A 24,161-nucleotide genomic window follows, 5' to 3' on the forward strand; every position below is an offset into this window, starting at 1 on the left:
ATGTTAAAACAGAATCTTAGCTTGCAATAGTGTTTCTCAAAATATAACCTTTCTTGAATCATTTTAGTATGTCTATTACTATTATATATTTATATGATGAATATAAAACATGGAAAACTTTGAGGATAAAACACTTCTTGCTTTTTAATGGTAGTATTGATATATATTGATGACCTATCTAAGGAATTTCTAAGTTAAAACGCTAGTACTATTGTGAACTCAAAGGGCTCATTAGAGTAAAAACTTCTGGACTCTTACCAGAGCTACTCATTTTTAAACATATTTTATTGTATTGAAATTTTATATTTATTACTAAACTGTAACATTACCTGTAATACCTATACTCCAGCCCTTTCTATAATCTAAATTAACCATAATTTTACCTGAAATATCCTAATTCTAGCCCCATTCTCATTTTTCTGAGGAAAAAGTTGATCCTTGACCTTCTATTCTACAATAAGTATTTTTTAAAATGTGAGCTGCAGGTTTTGCTGTAAAGATATTTCTCAGGTGGGCAGTACTCACTAATCACCAAATAGCACAAATTTCTACATGCTTAGCAAATAGCAGACTAAATTTATCATTGTACATGTTTGATAAGAAAGGGCATTTATTGTTTATTAGGTAATATTCCAGAGAATTCATGTGAGGATAATAGTACCAAGCCCTCGAAGCCAGAAAATAGCAACATTTTTCAACTTCCTTAGAAGATAAGGTGAAAGAAAAGTTATTGCACAGTGTCTGTGAACAATGAGGGGACCCTGACCTTACTAAATCAACTGCCAAGGCAGTCGTATAAAGGCCAAAGAGTAACTAGGTCACTGAAGATGCGTGGAGAGAAAGGGAATTATGGTATTAAAGCATTCTGGAAGCAAATAGCAGATGCTTTTCAACAAGGGAAATAGGCTATTTAAGTCATTTAACATACAGAATGTCCTTCCATGACCTTTTATACTAAGGACATAAAATTAGCAATTTACATTTCCACTCACCAAATATATGAAATTGTGAAATTTCAAGAGTGATTCCAGTGTTATCTCAGGAGAAAGAAGTAGAAGTCATCTGACTATGTCGGTGCATCGAGAATGGCATAGGAGTATGAAGGGAAAGTCACTTTAATACATTCTTTTAATTTTCTTCAGTTTTAACGAACTACTTTGACAAGTATTTAAAAGACAGGAGAGTCACGTTTTGAAATAGGACACTCAATTTTCTAACATGTGGTTTTATTTATGTTAACAAGCAACAAGGATATCCTGGTCATTTTGATATTTAAACTTGGTTAGTGAAGTATGGTATATCCCCTGAAACTGGTCAAATAATTTAGAAAAATAATGTAGAAGCTATTCTGAATTATCTTACATATTTACAATGCACATTAGAGCAGTGAAAACTCTGAGAAATGCTACAACTTAAAAATCTGCTTCACAATTTTTGCCATGAAGACCTTTATTATTTTGTATTTTACATATGAAATTTTATTTTACAATATTGATTAACATAAACACCTCTAGGAAACTTTGAATAAATACAGCAACAATTCAAGTATTTGTTGGTAGATGCTATGATAGCTTTCCAATCTTTGAATATGACTGATCTTTGTTTTAGGTCAAATCATGAATCATTTTGATGTTAATTAAAATGAAACAGCCCACAATCAAAATAACGTTGCAATATGTAGTACAGGAAAAAAGAATGCAGCTTAACAGCCTCCAAATAGGAAATGCAATAGAATTGAGTAGTGTTAAAAAGGACAGAAGTCACTGTATGGATAACCAGACCCAATATTGACTACAGTGTAATCAATCACAAGGTATATGCATTTAATTTATGTTAATTCCAATCATATATAAAGAATACAACCCCACCCTGTAATCTCTCTTCACCCCACCTCCACCTTCAGCTAGACCTCAGTTTAGAAAAAGGTAGGTCAATGTAGTAATAAAAGGAAAACCAAATAAATGAATTCTAGGCCTTCCAAGGGCACCTTTCAGAATCTTCAGGAGTTGTACCATATACAACTTGTGCTCCTAAAAGACTCGGGTCCTGGTGACTTTAGGGTGACTTAAAGGATTTTTAAGGGTAATTTTGATGGTTAGGGAATTTCAGTTTTTACCTTAAGTATTAACCTTAGGACCTAATTCCCATATTATTAGTAGAACAATACCAGGGTTATATAGCATGTATATGCCCTTCTGCTTCACAGTAGGGGAATTCTTACTTCACATGGTGTAATCATTTGTGCTCGTAGCTTATCAATTGCTAGTTAAAGCTGAAGTAGTTCAAATGTGAATGGTAAAAACACTTTGATAAAACAGTCGAAATATGAACATTAAAATCTATGGCTCTAATTGTCTTTGTAGATTCTTTCATTCTTTAACTTTATAAAACTTAAAAAACAAAGTAAATGAAAGTTGAACTAACTTCAATATTCCAATAAAAATAACTCAGTGATTCACTTCTAATAAGGAAGTTTTTCATTACTTACAACATATCGATTTCACTCAAACACTAAATTTTTTTTAAAGATTGTTACTGCTTTACTAGTTAATATAAATTACAGATCTAAAAATTCTTTAAATGATATATTTATTACCATAGAGCTTTTGTGACACATTTATTACTATAAAAGCACTTTTACCACCAAGTATTTTTTAAAACATGCAAAATATTTTAATGTGTATTTTTATGTAAGTATGTAAAGAAACTAATACAATTTATTGTCAGAATGGCTTAAATACACAATTCTGAGTTACTTTTACCAGAATTTATAAGATTAATTCTGTTTTTATTCTCTCTGACTTAAGCTATTATATATAACTATTTCATATATATTGCATATAAATATGTGTATGTAATGTATATATAAGCACATGTATACCCTAGCCTTTCCAAAGTAATACTTTTATACTTCCCCTTGCATCAGATCTGAGAAACAAAAATAAAGATTGCTATATCATTGCCTTTAAGATCCATTTTCTTGTTAACCCAACCTAACATTGATTTTGTGTTGTTTTGTGCCTTATTAATATCTGTGCTTTGGGGACATTACCCTAGCTTGTATGTGTGTAAATCTTATTCATGCAACTGAACTCTGTGACAATAAAAATTACATTTTAAGAAATGATAAATTATTATTGAATGTTTGAGAACAGACAAATGGAAGTTTGATCAATGAATTCACCATAAGAAGGAGAAGAACTATCACAGCAAATGTAGAAAAGGACATGGATTCAGGGGTAGGTCAGACAGGGGAAGAATGAACATCCTGTGGCTACTCTCCTTGTGGGGATAAGGGATGGGCTATTCCTTAAGTTTCAAAACAAAATTTTATGCAAGAGAAAAAAGTATAAGAAGAAGGGGGATAGCAAGATGTGAGTTCTCTCAACATCCATCATAAAGAAATTAAAAAGAAAAAAAAGATCAATGTAAGTCCCAGTCATAGCAAAAAACACAAAAAGACAAAAGTGTTCCACCAGATAAGTCACTGATTTGATAAATAATTTTTTAAAGTGACTGATTTGAATAAGATAGAAAATCAGAGGCTTTCAAATGGAGAATAAAAACATTAGATGTAAGAATATTGTAAAAGTAAAAATAAAGTTCCGTGATTTGTGCTTTATTTGGCTTTTAAATGCTCTCCATGTTTTGTTTTGTTTTGTTTTCTTACAGAATGCCAGAGTCCCCTGGTGAAGTTCCGGAATATCCTTTGTTTGTCACAGTTGGTGACTGGCTAGATTCTATAAAGATGGGGCAATACAAGAATAACTTCGTGGCAGCAGGGTTTACAACATTTGACCTGATTTCAAGAATGAGCATTGAGTAAGTGATACTAGGTTTATTACTGTAACGAGATGTCCTGCTGGGGATTATAAGTTCAAATGCTGTATCAAGAACACCTTTCCTTAGGCTAGTGGGTAATTTCCAAGTCTTTGCTCACCATTTCTGACTATCATTCTAGTGGAAGTTGGACATTACACTTTTAGCTATTATTCTTTGAAAGAATATATTTAATTCAAATAGCTATTTAAAATATTTTAAATGTTTTCTAAAATGCATGTTACTCTCATCCAAATCATAGACTTTATGTCAACTTAATTTTACCTTGGCAAATTATTACTCACATATATTAATATTGCATAATCAGTTTCTATTACCTTCATCAAATAATGCAATATTATCATGTCATTTTCAGAGCTCCTTCTAGATATTATAATGGTCAACCATTTTCCACTATTCTCAAAGATTGTCTTTTGCCTACATGCAATGAAAATATTTAACATGTGCTTAAAAGACTAAATGGTTAGTTTGAATCATATTAAATTGCCATTGTTTTAAGACAGTAATGGCAATTTCATACAGTACAACCTAAGGGCATTTTTTCTAGATATCAAAAATCCATGAGAAATCAAACGGAGTTCATATTATACCTTCCATCCTACATAATCACCATTTTGCTAATACTGTTGCAAATGTATATCATTACCTAAATTATATAGCATTTACGCCTATGAAATATCTGAGTATTACATAAGTACCTGTGTATAAAATTGAAATATATATATTATTACATCTGAGATTAACTTTATGTATTCTGTGGATCCAGAGAAAAGGAAAAAAAGAAACAAACTTTTGCTGCTCATTTAAATCTCTGTTTAACAAGTAAGCTACACTATTTTTGGTAACTGTGGCAGAGTGCTTATTTAATATATTTAAATATTCACTTTATCTTGCATGCTTATTAGATCTGAATGTTCATATTCTGTATCTCTCTCTCTCTCTCTCTCTTTCTTGCTCTCACTCTCGCTCTCACTCTTGCTCTCTCCTTTCTTTCAGTGACATTAGAAGAATTGGAGTCATACTTATTGGACACCAGAGACGAATAGTCAGCAGCATACAGACTTTACGTTTACACATGATGCACATACAGGAGAAGGGATTTCATGTATGAAAGTACCACAAGCACCTGTGTTTTGTGCCTCAGCATTTCTAAAATGAACGATATCCTCTCTACTACTCTCTCTTCTGATTCTCCAAACATCACTTCACAAACTGCAGTCTTCTGTTCAGACTATAGGCACACACCTTATGTTTATGCTTCCAACCAGGATTTTAAAATCATGCTACATAAATCCGTTCTGAATAACCTGCAACTAAAACCCTGGCCCACTGCAGATTATTGCTACGCAATGGTAAATAACTCAGCATGGATGTGTAATTTTGTATAAGCCGTATATGGGAAGTGTTCACGGACTTAACCTAAAAAAATTTATCCAGGTGGGGCTTCCTTAGTGATGTATGTAGAGTGTGATGGTAGATGAGAAAGAACTAGTTGACCTTTCTTTCATGTTTTGTGATCAAGTAGCTTCCAAACTGACAGAAATGTTTCATTTTTAGATAATTATATTCAGCTCTATTGGTTGTATTATTACTTTATTTTTTAATACTTTAACTGTTGGTGCCTGATATTGTTAGAATTATTTGCAGAAATGACCAGTGATATCATGTAATGAATTTTTGTGAGGTATGACTATGGTGAGAAGGGGGTTATTAGGGAGGGAGAAAAAAATACTGTGTTTATAAATCTTCTGAGGCTGGGTTTGTCAATTTTTTAAAAATTAACTTTATAATGTCATACATATTTCATAGTAGGTGGTAGTTTAAAGGCTTTTCACCTCTAATTTTATTTATTTATTTATTTATTTTTACTAACCGTAGTATATTTCTCTACTACCTTATGAAGACCGCTCCTGGAAAGACCAAGGGTGACTTCATTGATCTAATGGCTTTCATAGAGAAAAGCTTGGGATAAATCCATGACTATTTCCTTTGTGCATTGTCACAAGTTTGCAAAAGCAATTATCAAAGCACTGAGAAAATTGGTCATTCTCAGTAGAATTGCTTTGAATAAAATACGTTAGATTATACCCTTAGATTTAATGTAAAATTATTAATTTAATTTAAACAGAACTTTATGATAGATACATGGTGGCCCAAGAAAATAAACAGACTTAGCTGATCATTTGGTATTGGCACATTTTGCAAGTTGAAGCGTTCTTATGTTTTCTTTGCAAAAATAGTTACATGAACATGCTGAGCTCTTTTCGAAACCTTCTAAGAAATAAGTATGAATACTCCAAAGAGCATATAAACAGATCTTACACATGAGCATAGTGTGTCAACCTGGGTCCAACGTACAGTTACATAAAAATGAGAACACAGCTGTGTTGTCATAATCTTCTGAGAGGCTTAAAAAACAAAGGTAAATATATATTTTAAGTGATTTAAGCTGAGTTGGCTTATCAAAATTGTGCTATATCTTATGAACAAATTAAATTATAAAATCAGCTGCTCCCTGTAAAACTAAAAAAATGACGACTGTTTTAGGTGAAAGAGTAAGTAAAATGTGTTGAGAGAAAAAAACAGAGTAGGTTGTCTAAAGATGCTGATTTAATAAATTAGCTTTTGTTGGATCTCAGTGATAATGGTGCCCTACCTACCCTAATTCTCAAATTCCTATCTAAATTCATTTTTTGTCATAGTAGTGGTTTTTTTTTTTTAAATAAAGGACCCTGTTTTTGTTTTTTGTTTTTGTTTTTGTTGTTCGTTTGTTTGTTTTTGAGACGGAGGCGTTTTGCTCTTGTTGCCCAGGCTGGAGTGCAATGGTGAGATCTTGGCTCACGGCAACCTCTGCCTCCCGGGTTCAAGCGATTCTCCTGCCTCAGCCACCCGAGTAGCTGGGATTACAGGCGCCTGCCACCACTCCCGGCTAATTTTTGTATTTTTAGTAGAGACGGGGTTTCACCATGTTGGCCAGGCTGCTCGAACTCCTGACCTCAGATGATCTGCCCGCCTCAGCCTCTCAAAGTGCTGAGATTACAGGCGTGAGCCACCGCGCCTGGCCATTTTTTTCTTATATTTAGATTTTGTTGATCGTCCCATTATACTAGACCCTTCTACATATTTTCTTTTGCTGACTTGTCTCCTGATTTTTCCCTACCACAGCTTAATCCTTCTCATTTCAAAACAAATGTGTAAAGCAAAGCTAGAAGGAAGAGTCTTTAGATGTTTCTTAAAATATACAAAAAAAGGTAGGGGGTGATGGGAAAATCATCACTTTTCAAGTAAGTGTGCCAGATATAGCTAGCCACATTTTCCAGCCATCAACCTGCATGGTTGTGCATCACTCATAGACTATCTGCAGTTTGCTTGATACATTTACACAAATCTGGATACACTTAGAAGAAATATAAAATTTCCATATTTACCTATCTTCAAATATATATTAAATAAGAACAGATATAAAACAGATTAAATTTATTAATCATATATTTATTTTTATAATACAAAAAAGGTATTTAGGAAAATAAGGAATAGAATAATATGGTCTTCCACAGGACTCTGTCGGCACCATCTGTGTACCTTGAAATAAATTCTATTAAGTTATTTAAATTTCTATGGGATGAGCATTCAGTGATTACAAGATTAAAGTTGCCTATTAAGAATTCTTTCTTTTAAAATGTCTGATGATCCTATTCTACATCTGGTTAATTTGTACTTATTTTTTCTTTCTCTAACATCTTTTGATAGTATCATAAAACTACTTTTTGCTTTGTCTCTCATCCCATGTCTCCTTCAAAATTCCTTTTAAATTATAATTTTATTTTTCAGAATGGTAAGCATGATAATCTTAAATGTAACTTTGAACTTCATTATGGTTATGGCAACATTGAAACATGTGTGCAAGATTAAACAGAAACATTAAAATATAAGGATTTACTATAAGGATTTACTGCCTACCAATCATGGACCCCATGATCCCAGGAATATTACAATATTCAGGAATATAAACAGTTAAAATGCCAAATTCATCTGAAAATTTTACATGAAACATTTTGAGACTTACTAGTGTAAATTTTAGGTAATTAAATCTGTTTAATATGCAAAGCATAAAACTTAATTATAAAAAGAAAATAAGTAACTTCCATAAATCACAAGTCTTCAGGAATAATCTTTGATACCTAAAATATGCATATAGACTCACATACCTACTTTATTTTAAATGTCTTGATCTATGCTACTGAGGGGGTGTTTTGGATTTTAAAACCAGACAGTTAAAAAATCATTTTCATTTTATTTCTAGATGGTCAATTTTGTCTATGGTGAACTCATTATCTCATAGTAGAAGGCATATTTGGAAAAAATGTGAAAACAATGTACAATCAAGGAGAGAGATAAAGTATTTAAATCATTTTAAAAAGCAATCAAATTGCAAAATTTTGGTGGTTTAACACGAATCAAGAATTATAGCACTTTTGCAATGAGTTATAACTGGTGATAAATGTTCTACATTCCATATCAAAATAAGACATCTTATTTCACTCTGCATTGGTCTTTAAAATCTATCAAAGTATAACCTGAATAAAACTGCCTTCCAGCAACAGCTTTAAAACCTATCTCAGCCCATGAATGGAAAACAAATCCAAATCCGATCCTTGAAAAGCAAAGGCTCTAAAGAAGCTCTTCAGAAGAGACGGTAAAGAATGAATTCTTTTACTTATCACCCAACCACATTTCTTAAAAATGTGTTTTGGTGTCTTTTCCTACCAAATTTCTGCTCTACAAGGCAGTCAGTTAAATCTCTCATTTCATAATTTTCACTGTGCTAGTTCTTTCTTTTCTCCTCTTTTAATAAATTTTCTAAAACTTTCTCAGCCCTGTTTTTAATTCCCCCATCCTCTCTCTTTATTCCTTTCTCAGCTTCTATCACGCCACACATTATCTCAATCAGCATAAAAAAGGTAGCACAACAAATCTAAAAAGATTGTATAGACTTTTTTAGAAGAGGCTTGGGGCAGGGGGATGTTGCAAAAGCTATAATATTTTGGGTTCTATCACATAATTGAGAACATTTGTACTCACAGAGGATATGGGTTCTGGCTTTTCCTTAACTTGAAATCAAGTTTTTGGAAAGTAATTTTGAAATGGATGATGATGATCCTTTTTAATTGCTTTAACTAAGGAAGTTTATTATTAATATTTTAAAAATTAGTATTTTAAGATCAATATCTGTTATTATAAACTCACAGTTGGTGTCCATGTCTCTATATATCAAAGAGATTTGAAGCATATGTATCACTTCTTTTAGTATGAGCATCTTAACTTTTCCAATCTCAAATTCTGTGAAGTAGAAGAGACTCATATTACTTTACATTCAATCAACAAATATTTTAATATTTTTTAATATGAAGACTCCAAAAGGTAGAGGAGTACACTGGGTTAAATGGATGGTATTCTTCCACCAGAATATAAGATACTTAAGTCACCTAACTTTTGGTTTTTATAAGCAACATTTTCAACAATTTTTCAATCTTTATAATGTTCCACAAAGACAGTATAGATTTTATCTAGTTCAGCTTAACAAATATCTATGGAATATCTCCTATATGCACAAAATTTTACTACAAAGATACGTTTGGCTGTGCTGTCATTGCTTTCAAGTAACTCTCATTATTAAAATTTAGAGCTTTATTTGCTATGTTTGCTATGGTTGCCATGTCACCGGGGGATAGCACTTTCCATAGAATATAAAGAAATAAATAGGATCTTCGTCCAGTGTGAATTGGATTTGCAATTCTAATTCAAATGGAAAGAAATATTTTGGACCTCAAATTCTCATAGTATTCTTCCGAAACACTCCATAACCCCTCTGGCGGAGGGGAAGCATACTTCCTGGGTTCTCTAAAACAGTTTCTCTCATTAACAGTTGATCCTCTTCAGGAGTCACAGATTTTTATTGTCTGATAGCATAGCTATCAGTTCGTATATGGATTCACTACCTCAAAGGTGCCTCCTGTTAGAAAACATTAGCTTTTTTTCAAGAGCAATTCTGGAGTAATCTCTTGTTCAAGCTTATTCACTTGTTCTAGTAAACATAATAATAGGTATGAACTGCAATGGTGGCATAAAATCCTTTTAAATTCCATCCATTTAACAGGGGAAATAGATGATTACTCCTGACTATAACATATTACTAAGTGAAATGATAGAAACATCTTATATTGTGTAAAAGTAAACACTCCATCTATTTCTTACTGTTAAAAAAAAAGTACTGATGAGATGTAGCAAAGATTTCTCAGGATAAAAATTAACTTTTTTTGTTATAAGTGGATGTGGCATAATGTACATGTATTCTTGGAAAAAAATTAAAAGATCCAGAAAAAGATACAGGTCATCAAAATGTAGTTTTAACAAATCATCTTTTTCTGAGTAATAAATTAGCTTCAAATTAACAATGAGTTTGTATAAAATGTATAAAAAATAACATTTATATCTTTTTTTTTTTTTTTTTTTTTGAGATGGAGTTTCCCTCTTGTTGCCCAGGCTGGAGTGCAATGGTGCAATCTTGGCTCACCACAACCTCCGCCTCCCAGGTTCAAGCAATTCTCCTGCCTCAGCCTCCCGAGTAGCTAGGATTACAGGCATGCGCCACCACGCCCAGCTAATTTTGTATTTTTAGTAGAGACGGGATTTCTCCATGTTGGTTAGGCTGGTCTCGAACTCCCGACCTCAGGTGATCTGCCCGCCTCAGCCTCCCAAAGTGCTGGGATTACAGGCGTGAGCCACTGTGCCCAGTGAGAAGATTTATAGCTTAATGGAAAGACTTGGATTCTTTGCTCTTAATTCAAAAGAGTTTTTGTTTTATTAGCATTTACTTTTTGAGATTTTACAATATATTTGGAACTTCTTTAGGTAGCCAGTGGCAATCCAAAATTACATTTTAAAATGAAAAAAAGAGAAAACTTTTCAATTACTAAGGCAGGCAAAGCACTAGGAAATGAATAAACTTTACCTTTTAAAAAGGAATCTGTCAACTGCAAAGTTTGTATATCTCAGTGACATCAAGTGATTTTTGCACTGTCCCATTGAAAGCAAAGTTTCCTTTATTTATTTATTTATTCATTTATTTTTGAGACGGAGTCTCGCTCTGTCGCCTAGGCTGGAGTGCAGTGGCGAGATCTCGGCTCACTGCTAACTCCGCCTCCCGGGTTCACGCCATTCTCCTGCCTCAGTCTCCAGAGTAGCTGGAACTACAGGCGTCCGTCACCACGCCCGGCTAATTTTTTGTATTTTTAGTAGAGACGGAGTTTCACCGTGTTAGCCAGGATGGTCTCGATCTCCTGACCTGGTGATCCAACCGCCTCGGCCTCCCAAAGTGGTGGGATTACAGGCGTGAGCCACCGCGCCCGGCCACAAAGTTTTCTTTTAAACAAAACATGGAAAAGTTCTTGCTTGAACTTTCACACTGATTAATCAAAGTAACAAATCTCTACATCATTAAGAGAACTTTTGATTTGTTTCATTATAGAGAAAGTCTCAAAGAATTCCATTACCCTTAGACACAACTAATTCATTCCTCAGAATAACAAAGGTATTAAAGAAAAATCACTTGACAGATGAGGAGGAAAAGTAGCTCTTAAATGTTAAATAAAGATGTGGCTTCTATATTTAATTAAAAAATAAGGTATAAATTAACAACACAATCTTCTCAGGAGTTGTAAACTAGAAAAGTATCAGAATTAGTGAAAATCTTCCCTTAAGTAAAACTGTTCTTACTTGTATTTTCTGCATTATTTGTGACCTCTGGCCATTTTTAATTTGTCATAATAAACTCATTTCTGGTTAGATAATAAGTTATAATCTCAACAAATCAGAACAACTGAGATACAAGTATAGATAGGGTGCTCTACAAAATAATAAAAGGAGGACAACTCTAATTCAGGATTCCTATTTAGTTAGTAACAGGGTCTCCATCTCATTATCCCTCGCTGAAGTGAGAACTATCTTTATCCCAAAATAATACATTATTATAGAAAAAATTCCAAGGATATAAGAATCATTTTTCATATATTCCATTCAATTTGTATATTTAGGTATTAGTAACTGAGGATAGATATCTTTGTTTCATGAGTTCAATATGAGCTTACATGAGAAGCAAATTGATGTGAACATTTCTCTACAAGTTTTTCCACATTTGTAGCTCATCCTTAGAACAGTCTTAATTTGGCTCTGTTCTATAAAGACTCAATATCATTTAATTTTTCAAAATCATGATAGGGAGAAGAATGCTAATTTGTAAAGATAGGCAAACACTACACTTTTAAGATTTTTACCGTAAGTAAAATGTCCTCTTCCACTGCTTTTATAATTAAAAATCTCTTTCCTACCTTTAGTAATTTGTAGGATGAACTGTATGCATTTAGATAGAAATTGCTTTTGTTAAATTTACATTTAAACACATCTTCATTCACTTAGAGAAGCCATAATATAATTCTTCATATTAGTTTATTTTTCAAAGTAGTAACTTTTGCTATCTTTAGAATTCTCATCTACCCAGTAATATAATTATTAAAGTCATGAGGAAGTTTTTCTTTGACTGTGCATGCTTTATTTATTACCATATTGTTTTTGTCTTCAGAATAAGTCTGCTCAAAATTGTAGCCTTTAGAAGCTCTATAACAAAAATCAATGGCCAATAACTTGCTAACAAACTTGTAACTGAACAAGCTATTTTTTTCTGTCAATGTGATTGATATGCTCATTGTTAAATTTAACTTGTTTAAATATCCATTGGTATATTATCAAGAGCTATTACTGCAATAACCTCAAAGTATCTTTAAGACAATGCTGAATATCATACATAGTTAATAAACAATGATTGGAGCTTTTCAAAATTGCTGCTCTGCATGGAAAGTAAGGTTTAATGTGTATAAATGTTTGTCATTGAAGTTTGGAATTTATTTTAATGTACTCTTTCTTCCCATGCTAGATATGTCTTCAAAGAAAAATGTATTAATATATTCATACTATGCAAAAATATCATTTTATTCTTACCAAAAAAATGTAGCTTTGATAAAATTTTATGGTTTTTAGGCCTCTTAGAGTAAAAAAAATCAAAATGTGAAATGGGAGCATTTTGGGGAGCGAGCAGGACACAATATCTGAGCAGTGTTAACAAATATGAACATGAGTAACATTTGATGTAAAGATTATGGTGTGTGCTTGATTTTGGATACATTATTATTCATTTTGTTAGTCACATTCCACCTTGGATTGTGACATTGAAAAACATTGAATATATACAGGATATAAATATCTTTGGGATATTTTACATAATCATACTTATTTTTAATTTTGTGTACAGTGAAAACTTTGACAGTTTAATTTTGAATTTTGAAGGAATAATTTTTAACAGTCTTTGTTTCTTAAAATGTTAATTATGGTATACGTGCTATAGTAACCTCATTTTTTAAAAAAATCAGAGGCAAAGCAAGAATGCAGAACATGGCAACAGACTAAGTTCCACTAAAATTAAGGAAAACACTAAAAGGTAATACAGTACAAAGAGGAGTTTGTTTTAAAATTGTTACTTACCTCATTTTAAAAACTGTTAGAAAAGAGTGAATAAAAAGTATGTCACAGTACTCTTACTGGTAATTTTGAAACTAAAGTGCATTTCAAGGATGGGAATCTCTAATATAAATGAGTACACTAATAGTTGTTAAAATATGTATTGATACATACAATTAGAAAGAAATGTCATCAAAATATCAAAAATAGGAAAAAGTTCATTTTAAAAATGTTTTGTAATGGAACAAGTCATCAAAATTCTTAACATTTCCATATTATTAATCCTTTGTTTTCCAAGACATATATAATCAAAGAATTTGCCAAAAAATTCAAATAATAATACATTGAATATTGGACTGCCATAGCACTTTAAACATATTAATAAATTATCCCATGGATAATAAAGAGATTTTTTTCCAGCCATCATTAAATATAAAAATAGTATATATAAAGATGCATAAAAAAGGAACTTACTTGATACCGTCTTTTAGCATCAATTTATCTTGTTAAGCAGTTATATTAATTTTACACATACTCTTAAATGCTTAAAAACATAGTACTTACATATTAATTTTATGTGATATAATATGTTTTGATCTCTAAATGCTTACATTCTTTCAAGAAGATTGCCTTCTCTTTCCAGTTGTTTTAAGTATTTTAAAAAAGAGCCATTGTATTTTTTATATTTCCATTCAGTCTCATTATGCTTGAAAGTTTCCAACTCTCAAATAAGTTGAAACCAAGTGTCATAGCACAGTGGCTAGAAGTTATTCTTTTTGAAGTTATTCTTCTTTTATTTAATATTAGTCTGATATCCCCTAAAATTTGCTAGAGAAAGCAAACTCTTCTCATGAATGGAAATACAAAATGAAAATTCTCCACTGGATGTTATAAATTCAAAAAAAGAACATATATTTTTTATAGTTACTTCTCACTACTTACTGCTTATTCAGTTTGTAAAATCTTACCAAGTAGGATACTTCAAACAAGAGTGAAAAGCTACTCCATTTACGTGTAATCTGCTTATTTTCTTCAGAGTTTCCAAAAACCTTTGAGAAAACAAAATAATCGTTTTCCCTACCTTACAACCTTGATCACTCTACCATTAAATGCAATAATAAGGTATCTATAATATAACAATCAAAAATATCAGTCAAAGCTTAGTGTTTACCTCTTTAAACTATATAACAAATATAACCGTAGCAACAACAAATTAAAGGAGATCATGTCTCCTTACTGGTCCAAAATTGTATAATTCCTAAATTTTCATATATATACATATACTGACATACCTTTAAAATATATTTATCTGTAAGTCCATTCACTCCATTCAACTGTTTATTGAACACTACCATGTACCATTGTCCTGTTCGAAGCACTGAGGATACATGGTGACCAAGACAAGCAAAGTCCCTGTCTCATGGAATTGACCTTCTAGTGATAAAGACACACAATGAAGAAATAGTGATGTGCTGTGCTTATAATTAAAAATGTTACATAGCATGACTGTGGCTCCTTTAAGCGGTAGAGGAAATCTTCCCCCAAGGACATGCCATTTAAACTGATATCTGAAAAGCATGAAGGAAGCATCCATGAGAAGATATGGGGGAAGAGCATTACAAGCAGAGGGAAAATTTAATGAATGAAATTACAAGCAGAGGGGGATAGTTAATGAATGAAAATTTGGAGTGTTGGAGAGTAGAGAACAGTGTTCTTGGTACACTGAAATGAGGCAAAAAGAGGAGAAGGTATACGCATGAGGCTACTGGAGTAATTCCAGCAAAAACGTGGTGGATTCACTACTTCAAGATTTGGAAGGCATCAGTATATATATGCTATTTAAAGTTTGGAAATCACCTAGGAAAAGCCTGTGGAGGTAGGCCTAGGATTGCACTATATGCTATTCCAATGTTTAATAGGCAGATAATTAGAATTAAACAGAAGAAATGGAGTATAAAGTAAGCTAGAGAAAAAGGAAATGCAGTTGCTCATCTGGATTAAATGCTTTTAAGAAGTCAAGATTAGAACAAAGACATGTCCATGGGAATTAGCAACATGGAAGTTGTTGTTGTTGATGACCTTCACAAGGTCATCAACTATGAAAATAGTGGAGTCAACTATCAACTATGAAATAGTGGAGTCAAATCCCAACTGACATGGATTAAGGCGAGATGTAAAGGAAGGAGGTGAAATCACTATCTATAAACAACTCTCTCAAAAAGCTTTGATGTAAAGGGAGCAAGAGAAATAGGATAATAGCTGGAGAAAGGAAGTCAAGGAATTGTCTTGTTTTTTAAGGATGCTACAGCATATTTATCTACTAATGAAAATGACTTGGCAGACAGGGGAAAACTGATTATGCAAGAGAGATGATAATTGTAACAAAGGCCTTGAGAGATAGAGGGGTTGCGATTTAAAGCATAAGTAGGGAGGTTAATTTTTGATAGGTGCCGGAATATAGAACTCCAATGAAAGGAAGGCAGAATGTGTAATGTGCAAATAGGTTGGTATATTTGTGGTAGAAAGGGAAGGATGTCACTACGTAAGTTTTTTTTTAATTTTACCAAGAATGAGATAAAAGCCAATATGCAGGATGGGAAGGACGTATAGGTTGGAAGAGACATATGTAAGTAGTTGGATAGTAGGAAAGTGAATATATATTTGATGAAATATTTTAAAGGCATCTTTACTAAATATTTTTGAGACATCTTATTGGAAGACCCGAAACTTTGAATTCTGTGGTTTCCAAGGACTCTGGTAAGAGTCCTTTCCATAATGTAGAGATTGAGAACTTCTCAATGCCATAAATACTGTTTTCCTTATTTTCATCTATTACAGATTAAAAGGCAGAAACATTTTGTAGCTAATCTGTTATAATGCAAAGCCTATCAAACTTAAAATTAGCTTAATCCTGAAAGATGTATATTGCATAATCAACCTGTCACTTTTTTCAAACACGATTTGGGAGGGTATTGAGGTCCCATGTAAATTTTAAAATAAAAGACAAACAGGAACTAATCTTTTAGTAAAAATTATTTTGTTTTCATATAGGAAAACAATGCCTTCTGTCATTTACGGAAAACACATGGGCAATATGGTTGGTTGTTCATTGTGCCCCTCTATCCTATAGGAAGAATGTGATCTTTTAATTGTGCTTGGTGCTTTGTTTCTGGAGATATATATATATATATTATATATATGTATATATACCATATGTATATATACATATGTATGTGTGTATGTGTGTATATATATCTCTCTAGGTTGTATGTAATTCAATATGTTGGAATTTAAAGATGCATTATTATTTGGATTTGATGTGAAATTAGATTGTGAATAATGGAGATTGCTCTCCATTTTTTGCTGTTCTAGCATAGCCAAAAATATAAAGATATAGATGTACATATACATATGTATTTGATTAAACACTTTAAATTTTAAATGGCCGCATCAAATTTTAAATGGTAGATGATATCAACAATTGCAGTGCACTCAAAATGTTATAAAATCTTTGTAGCACAAATCCTGAAGTATATGCAAACTAAATAGCATATTTATATAAAATACCTAGATAACATGTCTAGGTTGAGATATTTAATCCCTCATAGAGCTATATTTGACTAATAAAAAACGACAGCTAAAAATAATTTCCCTCCCTATAAGTACAAATATGATTTTTAAAGCATCATTGTAACTTGTCATGAAGCTATTTATTATTAATTAAGGATTTAACTCTGTACCCATCTGCTCTTACAAAAGGGGAAAAAGATTTATCTATGAGAATAGGGAAGTATAGCACTGTTTTATGTTTTTCTCTTTAGTATTCTGTCACCATTTAAAGCTTCAATATATGCCTTCCACTCAGGTTCCTGACACAGCCTACATTCTCTTTTCTGGTTATAATCACAATATGGTAGAGCTATAAACAAGGTAAAAAGGTGTTAACAATTGAACTGCAATCCTACCTATTATCTACTTTACTATAGCAGTGAAGTAGTCCAGACTTATTTGAAGGTGGTACTATTTTTATCTTACAAAAATCTACTATAATATTAATAACTTTCCATGTAAATTTTCATGTGCTGGCATGCTTACAAGTTAATAGTGTTATAGAATGCTCAGCTCTCAATATGAGGGGTTGTTTGTGGTGAATTGCATAACATATGTCATCTATTTGCTGAAAGAATATGCTGTTTAGCAAACTACCTGCTGAGCAACATAATAAGATTTTTGTACAAGGTACAAATTACTAATTATTGTATTTTATTTTTCTATGATTTCCTAAGAGGCATTATCAGGGTCTTACAGATGGAGTAAGCCTGTTTATTAAAATATCTATTGGCAAATAAAAGTTACAGCTTTGGTGGTTGAATTTGTGACTTTTTTGTATTGTTGTATTTATGCAGATCTAATGCAATTTATTTTTTGGTCTAATAAATCTAGATGCTGTTTAGATAATTTAGTAATTCTGGATGCAAAATCATAGTTGTAAATTTTTTAAATAATGTCATTAGGTTTAGACATAAATTCACAGAAATCACTATAAAAAACTAGTAAATATTTTTGTAGCGATTTTATATTGGAAAATATTTTGTGAGATTCAAGTAAATTAAAGTGTTCATTGCAGAGGCAGTACTGCACAGAAATTGCAGATGAAAAAAGGGTACACATAACATCAACTGTTGAAACACAGCTTTAGACCAAAGTTTACACCAAAAAGTTGCAGTAAGTTATAAATCAGGGATTATCTATATTCTTTTAAAAGTTGCTGGTGAGAAAATAACGCTAAAGTATCCTGAATTAATCAGAACAGTGCTGTGTTCATTATATCTGACTCTTTTCTTTTTTATAATTTTCTTACTACAGTTCTAAAAGCCAGTATGAAATTAAAACTGGTGAGAAGGTACCTAAAATTATCTTCTGTTATGGTTAAGTGGCTTTAAGAAAATCACGTAGCATTTTTAAAGCTTGTTATTGTCATAATAAAAAAGAGTCAAACTAACTTCTTAAATCAAGCGAAACAATTGTATCTCAGCCTCTGAATGTACTCGTGAGAGGAGTTTCAGTTGACAAAGCACCAAAACAGCAGAATCAACCATATGAAATATTTATATGTATTTATTTTTAATAGAGATGGGGTCTCCAACTTCTGGCCTCCGGAGATCCTCCTGCCTTACTTAGCCTCCCAAAGTGGTGGGATTACAGTGTGAGCCAGTGTGCCCAGCCTTTATGTTTTTTGTTTTGTTTTGTTTTTGAGTGCAGGGTCTCACCCTTTTGCCCAGGCCAGAGTGCAATGGCACAATCTCAGCTCACCGCAACCTCTGCCTCCCCGGTTCAAGCGATTCTCCTGCCTCAGCCGCTTGAGTAGCTGGGATTCCAGGAACGTGCCACCACACCCGGCTAATTTTTGTATCTTTAGTGGAGATGGGGTTTCACCATGTTGGCCAGGCTGGTCTTGAATTCCTGACCTGGTGATCCACCTGCTTCAGCCTCCCAAAGTGCTGGGATTACAGGCGTGAGACACCGGGCCTGGCAGCCTTTATGTTTTTTTAAGTTTAATATTTTCAAGGCTAACATTTTTTTCTAGATTATTTTACTGCTTTATTTCATAACATTTATCTCTAGTAATAAGCCATCTATCAACTATACTTATCTAAGATAACGATTTGACTAGCTACATTTTTGTAGAAGAATTATCTATCTGCCTTGTTTTCCTGAAAAGTTGGATGCTCAATATGTCCATTTTATTTCCAGTTTTCACCAAATGTTTTATATTAAGCCAAAAGAGATGAACTCAACCTAGAGGCAGAAAATATCAACTTTTAGCAGGAAAAATTGAGTCTGTCCATGAAAGTTTTCTGAAATATAACATTTCTGCCGATCGCTAAGAAAAAAAAATGTTATATTTTGGCCGCAAGCACATTAGCTTCCATCTCTTACAAGTAAGTCACAACACCCAGGCACACAGAAAAGTGTTCAACACCTCCCTGTCAATGCATTCACGATTAGAAGTTCAGAAGTTAAAGAACCACCATAGTTACGGTTTGGGTCAATTTTGTTTACACAATAAAAAGCTCAAGACAAAAGAAGACAGGACATTATTTATTGAACAATAAATATGTGCCAAACATCTGTATTTCTGTTATCTTTAATACTCAGAACTACCAGATAAGATAAATACTATATTTTTGAAGGTGAGGATAGAAGCACGGAGAAGGGTAAATTGGGCTAAGACCACACAGTAAGAAAGAATGTATTTCCATACTCCATTTTTACAAGGACATTTATATGTTGATATGCATCCATAGGGTCTTTGTTTTGTTTTTGTCTTTCAACAAGAATCACTAATCCAGAGCCGCTTTTGTTTTTTCGCTGTAAAAATGACAATTACATTTGGAAATTTGGAGAAGTGACAAAAGATAAATCACCCCATAATCACACGCTTACAACCGTCCCCCCTACCATATTACTTTGAAATAATTCCTTCTAGTCTCTTTTTGCACCCTCCTAGTCCATTTAATAGGCCAAATGAATTGACAGGCCAAAGAACAGGCAGTGCAGTAAACATACACTAGCTAGTTGAAAAGGGTCGCGCGGTGGGGGGCAGGGGGTCGGAAATCCTACACCCATGCAAACAAAAAAAATGAAGAGATACAAACCCCTATTTGAAGAATGAGGCCATTCGCTGGGGGTGAGGTTAGTGGAGTTGGGCAGATTGAAAGGCTAGATCTTTAAAATGACTGCATCTGTAATGTGTCCGTTGGAAAACGCAGTAATAAAAGATGTGGGGAAGGGTATGCCTAAATATTTTCTATTTGAAGACCATTTGTGACTATGACTATAAAATCCAAGTGCAATTTAAGAAGGTGGTCAACTTTAAGTATTGACTATTAATACCTTTCCTGACCACCTGCCGATTTGATTCTGGAGACTGTAATCTACTCACAGGAGATTATGCCTGGTAGAAATCTCTTCGGGAGACCACACAACTAAGAAGCAGGGGTACAGGCATACTTTATTAGCCGAATAACACCTTTTGACTTTTTACACCAGTTCTCCCCTCTACCTTCCTGTATTAACAGTTTTACCTCTACAGGGACTCAGGGTGGGAGGCCTATCAGAACCCAGAGAAGAGTCGGTGCGATGGGCAACTGGGGAACTCCGGCGCACATCTTGCCCCAGGGGGGACAGTATCGTCTTGCAGTCGTTGCCACAACGCTACGCTGGTGCCCGGTAACGACACTCTCCGCGCCACACCCAGCGCCAGCCTCTTGGATCCCCAGGAAGACCAGGGCCGAGCGACAAACACGCAGCACACGCGAACGCCAAACGCTTCCCAGAAAGCTGTGCGCGAGCCTACAACTCCCATGATGCTACGCCGGGAACTGCCCGGCTCCTCGCAGGAAATAGGCAGCTCACCCTGCCACCTGTGCACACATTTTTCTTCAATGTATAGTTCCTCGGCGCGCCTCTGACCTTTTCCCGGAGCTCTTCAATCCCAGAAGCTATAGCACAACGGCTGAATCGCCAGGACCCCCGGGGAGGCGTGGCTTCAGGACCGGAAGAAGCTCCTGTTGCCAAGGGAACGGTGCCTGCCAAGGCGCCTGCTCAGCGACTGATGCACAGACTGCTGCAGAGGCTGCCGGTTTTCCCAACTTCTAGAGACGGCTTTGCTCATTACCAGGCATCCTTCCCATGTAGGCATCGAGAAGAAGGCTGAGGGACCCTCGCACCAGATTTCCATCCCGGAGACCGATACGAGTGCGTCCATTCCTGTTGCCAGCTCCTGCGCCCTCCGGACTAACCTCAAAAACCAGGTATCTCCTCAACGCCGGTTTTTAAAGCCAGCGCCACCCTCTGTCCCCGTCAGTTTTAGAATTCCTCTTTGGTCTTTCCCATGTTTTTCACTCCACGCGTGTAGTTGTTGCTAATGTATGAGAAGTAGAAAAGAAGGTGAGTTATAGAGGCCCTAGAAAACTTACTAAACTGGTTTGGACGTATGTTTGGTTGATGGGTTTTAACAATGCTCAACTTAGACCCGTGTATTGGGGGTGTGTGTGTGTGTGTGTGTGTGTGTGTGTGTGTGTGTGTAAGTGTAATTTAAATTATATCATAAAAAACTGAAAGCCGAATAAGAATGTTTATTTGGGGTAATAAAAGTAGGCAACATTTCAATCAACAAACACTTTACAGAGTTTACTAAGTATCATTCGTGGTGTTTTCTCTGGGCTACCACTCTGTCTCTGCAGCTTACCCTCTAAGCTGTTAACTGTGGATAACATCCTAATTCTTCTGGACTTCTCTGGCAATATGTAATCCTTTAGGAAACAGTCTGTCAGACAATAACCAAGAGAATTTGGCTGGTGTGCAAAGAGAGGGTTACAGTAAGATAAGAAACAAGAAAGGAAGATTGGAGCCAGATTGTGGACAACCTTAAAAGCTGTGCTTGGAAGTTTGAAACTACTGGCTTTATTCTGAAAGCCAGTAGTTCTCAATAGTAACTTCACATCAGAAACACTGGGTAGCTTTTAAAACTACAGATGCCCTGATCTTATTTTCAAAAATTCGGATTCAGCAATTGATTTCAGAGTGCAGCCAGGGTTGAGAATCATGGCTATCAGAGTAGGAAGCTGCAGAAAACAGTTGTGTCTCTCGCTGCACACTTAAGACACGATTAACAAATATTGACTGGCTTCAATTATCTTTTATTTATGCATGCAGAAAGTCAACTTATGGAAGGAAAATTATAACTACTTGAAACGTAGAAGTTTAAAGGCTCTATGATAGTTGTTTATAAAGCAATTTCAATAAATGTGATTACCTCTTTTAGAAAAACTGCCTGCTCTTCTAAATTGTGTGTCCCAAAATATTTCATTAACAAGTATCAAGTGATAATCCATGGAAAAGTGATGGAAAGTCACAATACAAGGTACTGTGAAAAACGAATATTCAAGCATCAGGCTTTAAACACTCAGTGCTTTATAGTAGATGCTTAAAGGGGGGAAAATGTGAGAAGTTGTCGTTTTTAAAACATAAGTTCTAAATTATGAAATGGAGAACAAGATATAAGCATTTATATCAATATGTTTATGCAGTAAATAAAGTGAGTAATAGCAAATTTACTTTGAAATCAAATGGTATGTGTGAATTGCTTCATGACATCAGAAGGTTAATTTAAAATAGATTTTACAAATGCTGGTCCTTAAGCTGTAATTTAAAGAAATGGACTGAATAAGATTTGAATCTCTGATACAAGGAGAAAAGCAGATTGAAGTGGCACAAATGGAAGTACCTGAGGTCAAACTCATCCTTGGGGAAAGACAAACGTGGTTCTGTAATAGGCCTCACCTTTTGGCATGGCACTGTTCCATCTCTTCTCTGCACATCACTGAAATTTAGTTTTGAAATTTCTACCCATAATCATATCCCAAAAGGCCTAAGCAAAATGTTGACTATGCAACCTCCTTTTAGATACAGTTGTCTTGGAAGCCTGTTATTGATAAAGTTGCTGCAGCCTCACATCCTTCAAGGTATGGCCTTGCCTGAAATTGTATGGAATAAAAAGTATTGAAGAAACTGTAATATGACAGGTTGCTTATGCAACCTTAGATGGAGATGAGAATAAGTCAATTTAATGAGAATAAAAACATTAGAGAACTAATGTTGGTGAGTAATGAGAAATATTTGGTACATAGATATATTGTAGCAGTTCCTGCAGCAGTTGGGGGCTGGAAAAAGGGATCTATCTCCCTGTCCTTCTACCACAAAGTAATGGTTTGGGGAGCAATGGACCCAAAGTGAGCTCCTTTGAAAAGTTTAGTTTGGAGACCTGAAGTGTAAATTTAACAGTACCTTAGATGAATATAAACAGCCATAAAGTTACCACATAGCAAGTTTTATGTACACAGCAGTTTTATTTGACTTCCAAATACTTCTATTTTTGGATTGCTGATAGTTTTTTTTTAAGTTTGCATTAGAAAGAATTTTTTTTTCAAAGAATCAATACAATTGAACAAGAGAAATGAACACTTTAGGGACAAGTTAACAAAGAAATTTTTAAGATACTTAAAAAACTAAATTAAAATCTACAATCAGTATTTACTTCCTTATTCTATACTAATACGATAAAGTCCTTTTAAAATAGCACTTAGGAGGATGTTTCAGATAAGTTACAGTTAAAAAACAGATATTTAGTAAGGTTCAATAAATTGAATGTGTGTATGTATTTATGCATAACCTTCTTCACAAAGGGATTTGTGGTGACTTACAAAGATGTATGTATAGGATAAGGGGAAATAAGGATAAGTATTTCAGGATTCTTTGCTTCTACTGAGAGAAAACCCTACTTAAACTGGAAATAACCAAGCAAGCAAAAAAAAAGTGAATTTATTGTAACTTCATATTATTACAAAATATAACAATGGGGCTGGCTTCTGATAAAGATTTAACAGTGGCTTAAATGATATCACCAAAATCTCAAAATCTGTCTGCTTTTCAGATCTGCCTTCTACTTTCTGCCTTCTACATGAACCCCATTGCCCATTCATTGTTTCAGATTTTCTGGAAAGGCTACGGCCTAATTCTTCCATATTTTCAAGTATCACAATTCGCAGACTCCAAATGATACTGAGGCTGACCATGTTTTATTCTTAAATATGATAAATTACAGAGAGAAATGTTGTTATTTCCAAGGCATTGTTCTGTGTTGCCACCTGTTATAAGCTGCAAATCTGCGTGTCAGTTAAGGCTCC

At 33.9% G+C, this 24,161-nt stretch overlaps 2 protein-coding genes and 1 long non-coding RNA gene across 39 annotated transcripts in view, besides 6 other annotated features; 2 read left to right on the forward strand and 1 right to left on the reverse strand.

The window, feature by feature from the left end:
- The window catches only part of LOC124906256 (uncharacterized), a 40,819-nt gene extending 26,352 nt beyond the window's left edge, over positions 1 to 14,467 (reverse strand). The window contains exons 1-2 of one of the 2 annotated variants that reach the window (XR_007095973.1): positions 14,379 to 14,467; positions 9,088 to 9,180 (exon numbers count right to left, since the gene is read on the reverse strand). This is a non-coding gene — a long non-coding RNA (uncharacterized LOC124906256). Of the gene's footprint in view, positions 1 to 9,087; positions 9,181 to 14,378 lie in introns of those variants that run through there. The other variant, XR_007095972.1, reaches the window with a different exon arrangement.
- The window catches only part of EPHA6 (EPH receptor A6), a 946,939-nt gene extending 929,157 nt beyond the window's left edge, over positions 1 to 17,782 (forward strand). For 13 of the 14 annotated variants that reach the window (XM_017006211.2, XM_006713592.4, XM_017006210.2 and 10 more), the window contains 2 exons: positions 3,673 to 3,822; positions 4,837 to 17,782. In XM_017006211.2, coding sequence (XP_016861700.1) covers positions 3,673 to 3,822; positions 4,837 to 4,951 — 265 coding nt within the window. In that variant the 3' untranslated portion in view covers positions 4,952 to 17,782. The remainder of the gene's footprint in view (positions 1 to 3,672; positions 3,823 to 4,836) is intronic. The other variant, XR_001740110.2, reaches the window with a different exon arrangement.
- Positions 3,415 to 3,916: an enhancer, noted in NCBI's record as "NANOG hESC enhancer chr3:97466009-97466510 (GRCh37/hg19 assembly coordinates)". NCBI's record gives its function as "activates a minimal SCP1, AML or CMV promoter by ChIP-STARR-seq in primed H9 embryonic stem cells {active_cell/tissue: H9 hESC(primed)}" and the evidence as "EXISTENCE:reporter gene assay evidence [ECO:0000049][PMID:30033119]".
- Positions 20,339 to 20,840: an enhancer, noted in NCBI's record as "H3K27ac hESC enhancer chr3:97482933-97483434 (GRCh37/hg19 assembly coordinates)". NCBI's record gives its function as "activates a minimal SCP1, AML or CMV promoter by ChIP-STARR-seq in naive H9 embryonic stem cells {active_cell/tissue: H9 hESC(naive)}" and the evidence as "EXISTENCE:reporter gene assay evidence [ECO:0000049][PMID:30033119]".
- Positions 20,339 to 21,340: a biological region, named in NCBI's record as "H3K27ac hESC enhancers GRCh37_chr3:97482933-97483434 and GRCh37_chr3:97483435-97483934".
- Positions 20,476 to 21,015: an enhancer, noted in NCBI's record as "active region_20126". NCBI's record gives its function as "activates an Ori minimal core promoter by ATAC-STARR-seq in GM12878 lymphoblastoid cells {active_cell/tissue: GM12878}" and the evidence as "EXISTENCE:reporter gene assay evidence [ECO:0000049][PMID:35858748]".
- ARL6 (ARF like GTPase 6) overlaps positions 20,771 to 24,161 on the forward strand; it is a 36,722-nt gene continuing 33,331 nt past the window's right edge. For 8 of the 23 annotated variants that reach the window (NR_136598.2, NR_136597.2, NR_136600.3 and 5 more), the window contains exon 1: positions 21,008 to 21,227. The gene's annotated coding sequence lies outside the window, so the exon portion shown is untranslated. Of the gene's footprint in view, positions 21,228 to 22,240; positions 22,340 to 22,881; positions 22,941 to 24,161 lie in introns of all 23 variants that reach the window. The other 15 variants (XR_924188.4, XR_007095753.1, NM_177976.3 and 12 more) reach the window with 5 other exon arrangements.
- Positions 20,841 to 21,340: an enhancer, noted in NCBI's record as "H3K27ac hESC enhancer chr3:97483435-97483934 (GRCh37/hg19 assembly coordinates)". NCBI's record gives its function as "activates a minimal SCP1, AML or CMV promoter by ChIP-STARR-seq in naive H9 embryonic stem cells {active_cell/tissue: H9 hESC(naive)}" and the evidence as "EXISTENCE:reporter gene assay evidence [ECO:0000049][PMID:30033119]".
- Positions 21,056 to 21,165: an enhancer, noted in NCBI's record as "active region_20127". NCBI's record gives its function as "activates an Ori minimal core promoter by ATAC-STARR-seq in GM12878 lymphoblastoid cells {active_cell/tissue: GM12878}" and the evidence as "EXISTENCE:reporter gene assay evidence [ECO:0000049][PMID:35858748]".

The sequence above is a fragment of the Homo sapiens genome, chromosome 3 (assembly GCF_000001405.40).
Source record: "Homo sapiens chromosome 3, GRCh38.p14 Primary Assembly".
Lineage (NCBI taxonomy): Eukaryota > Metazoa > Chordata > Mammalia > Primates > Hominidae > Homo > Homo sapiens.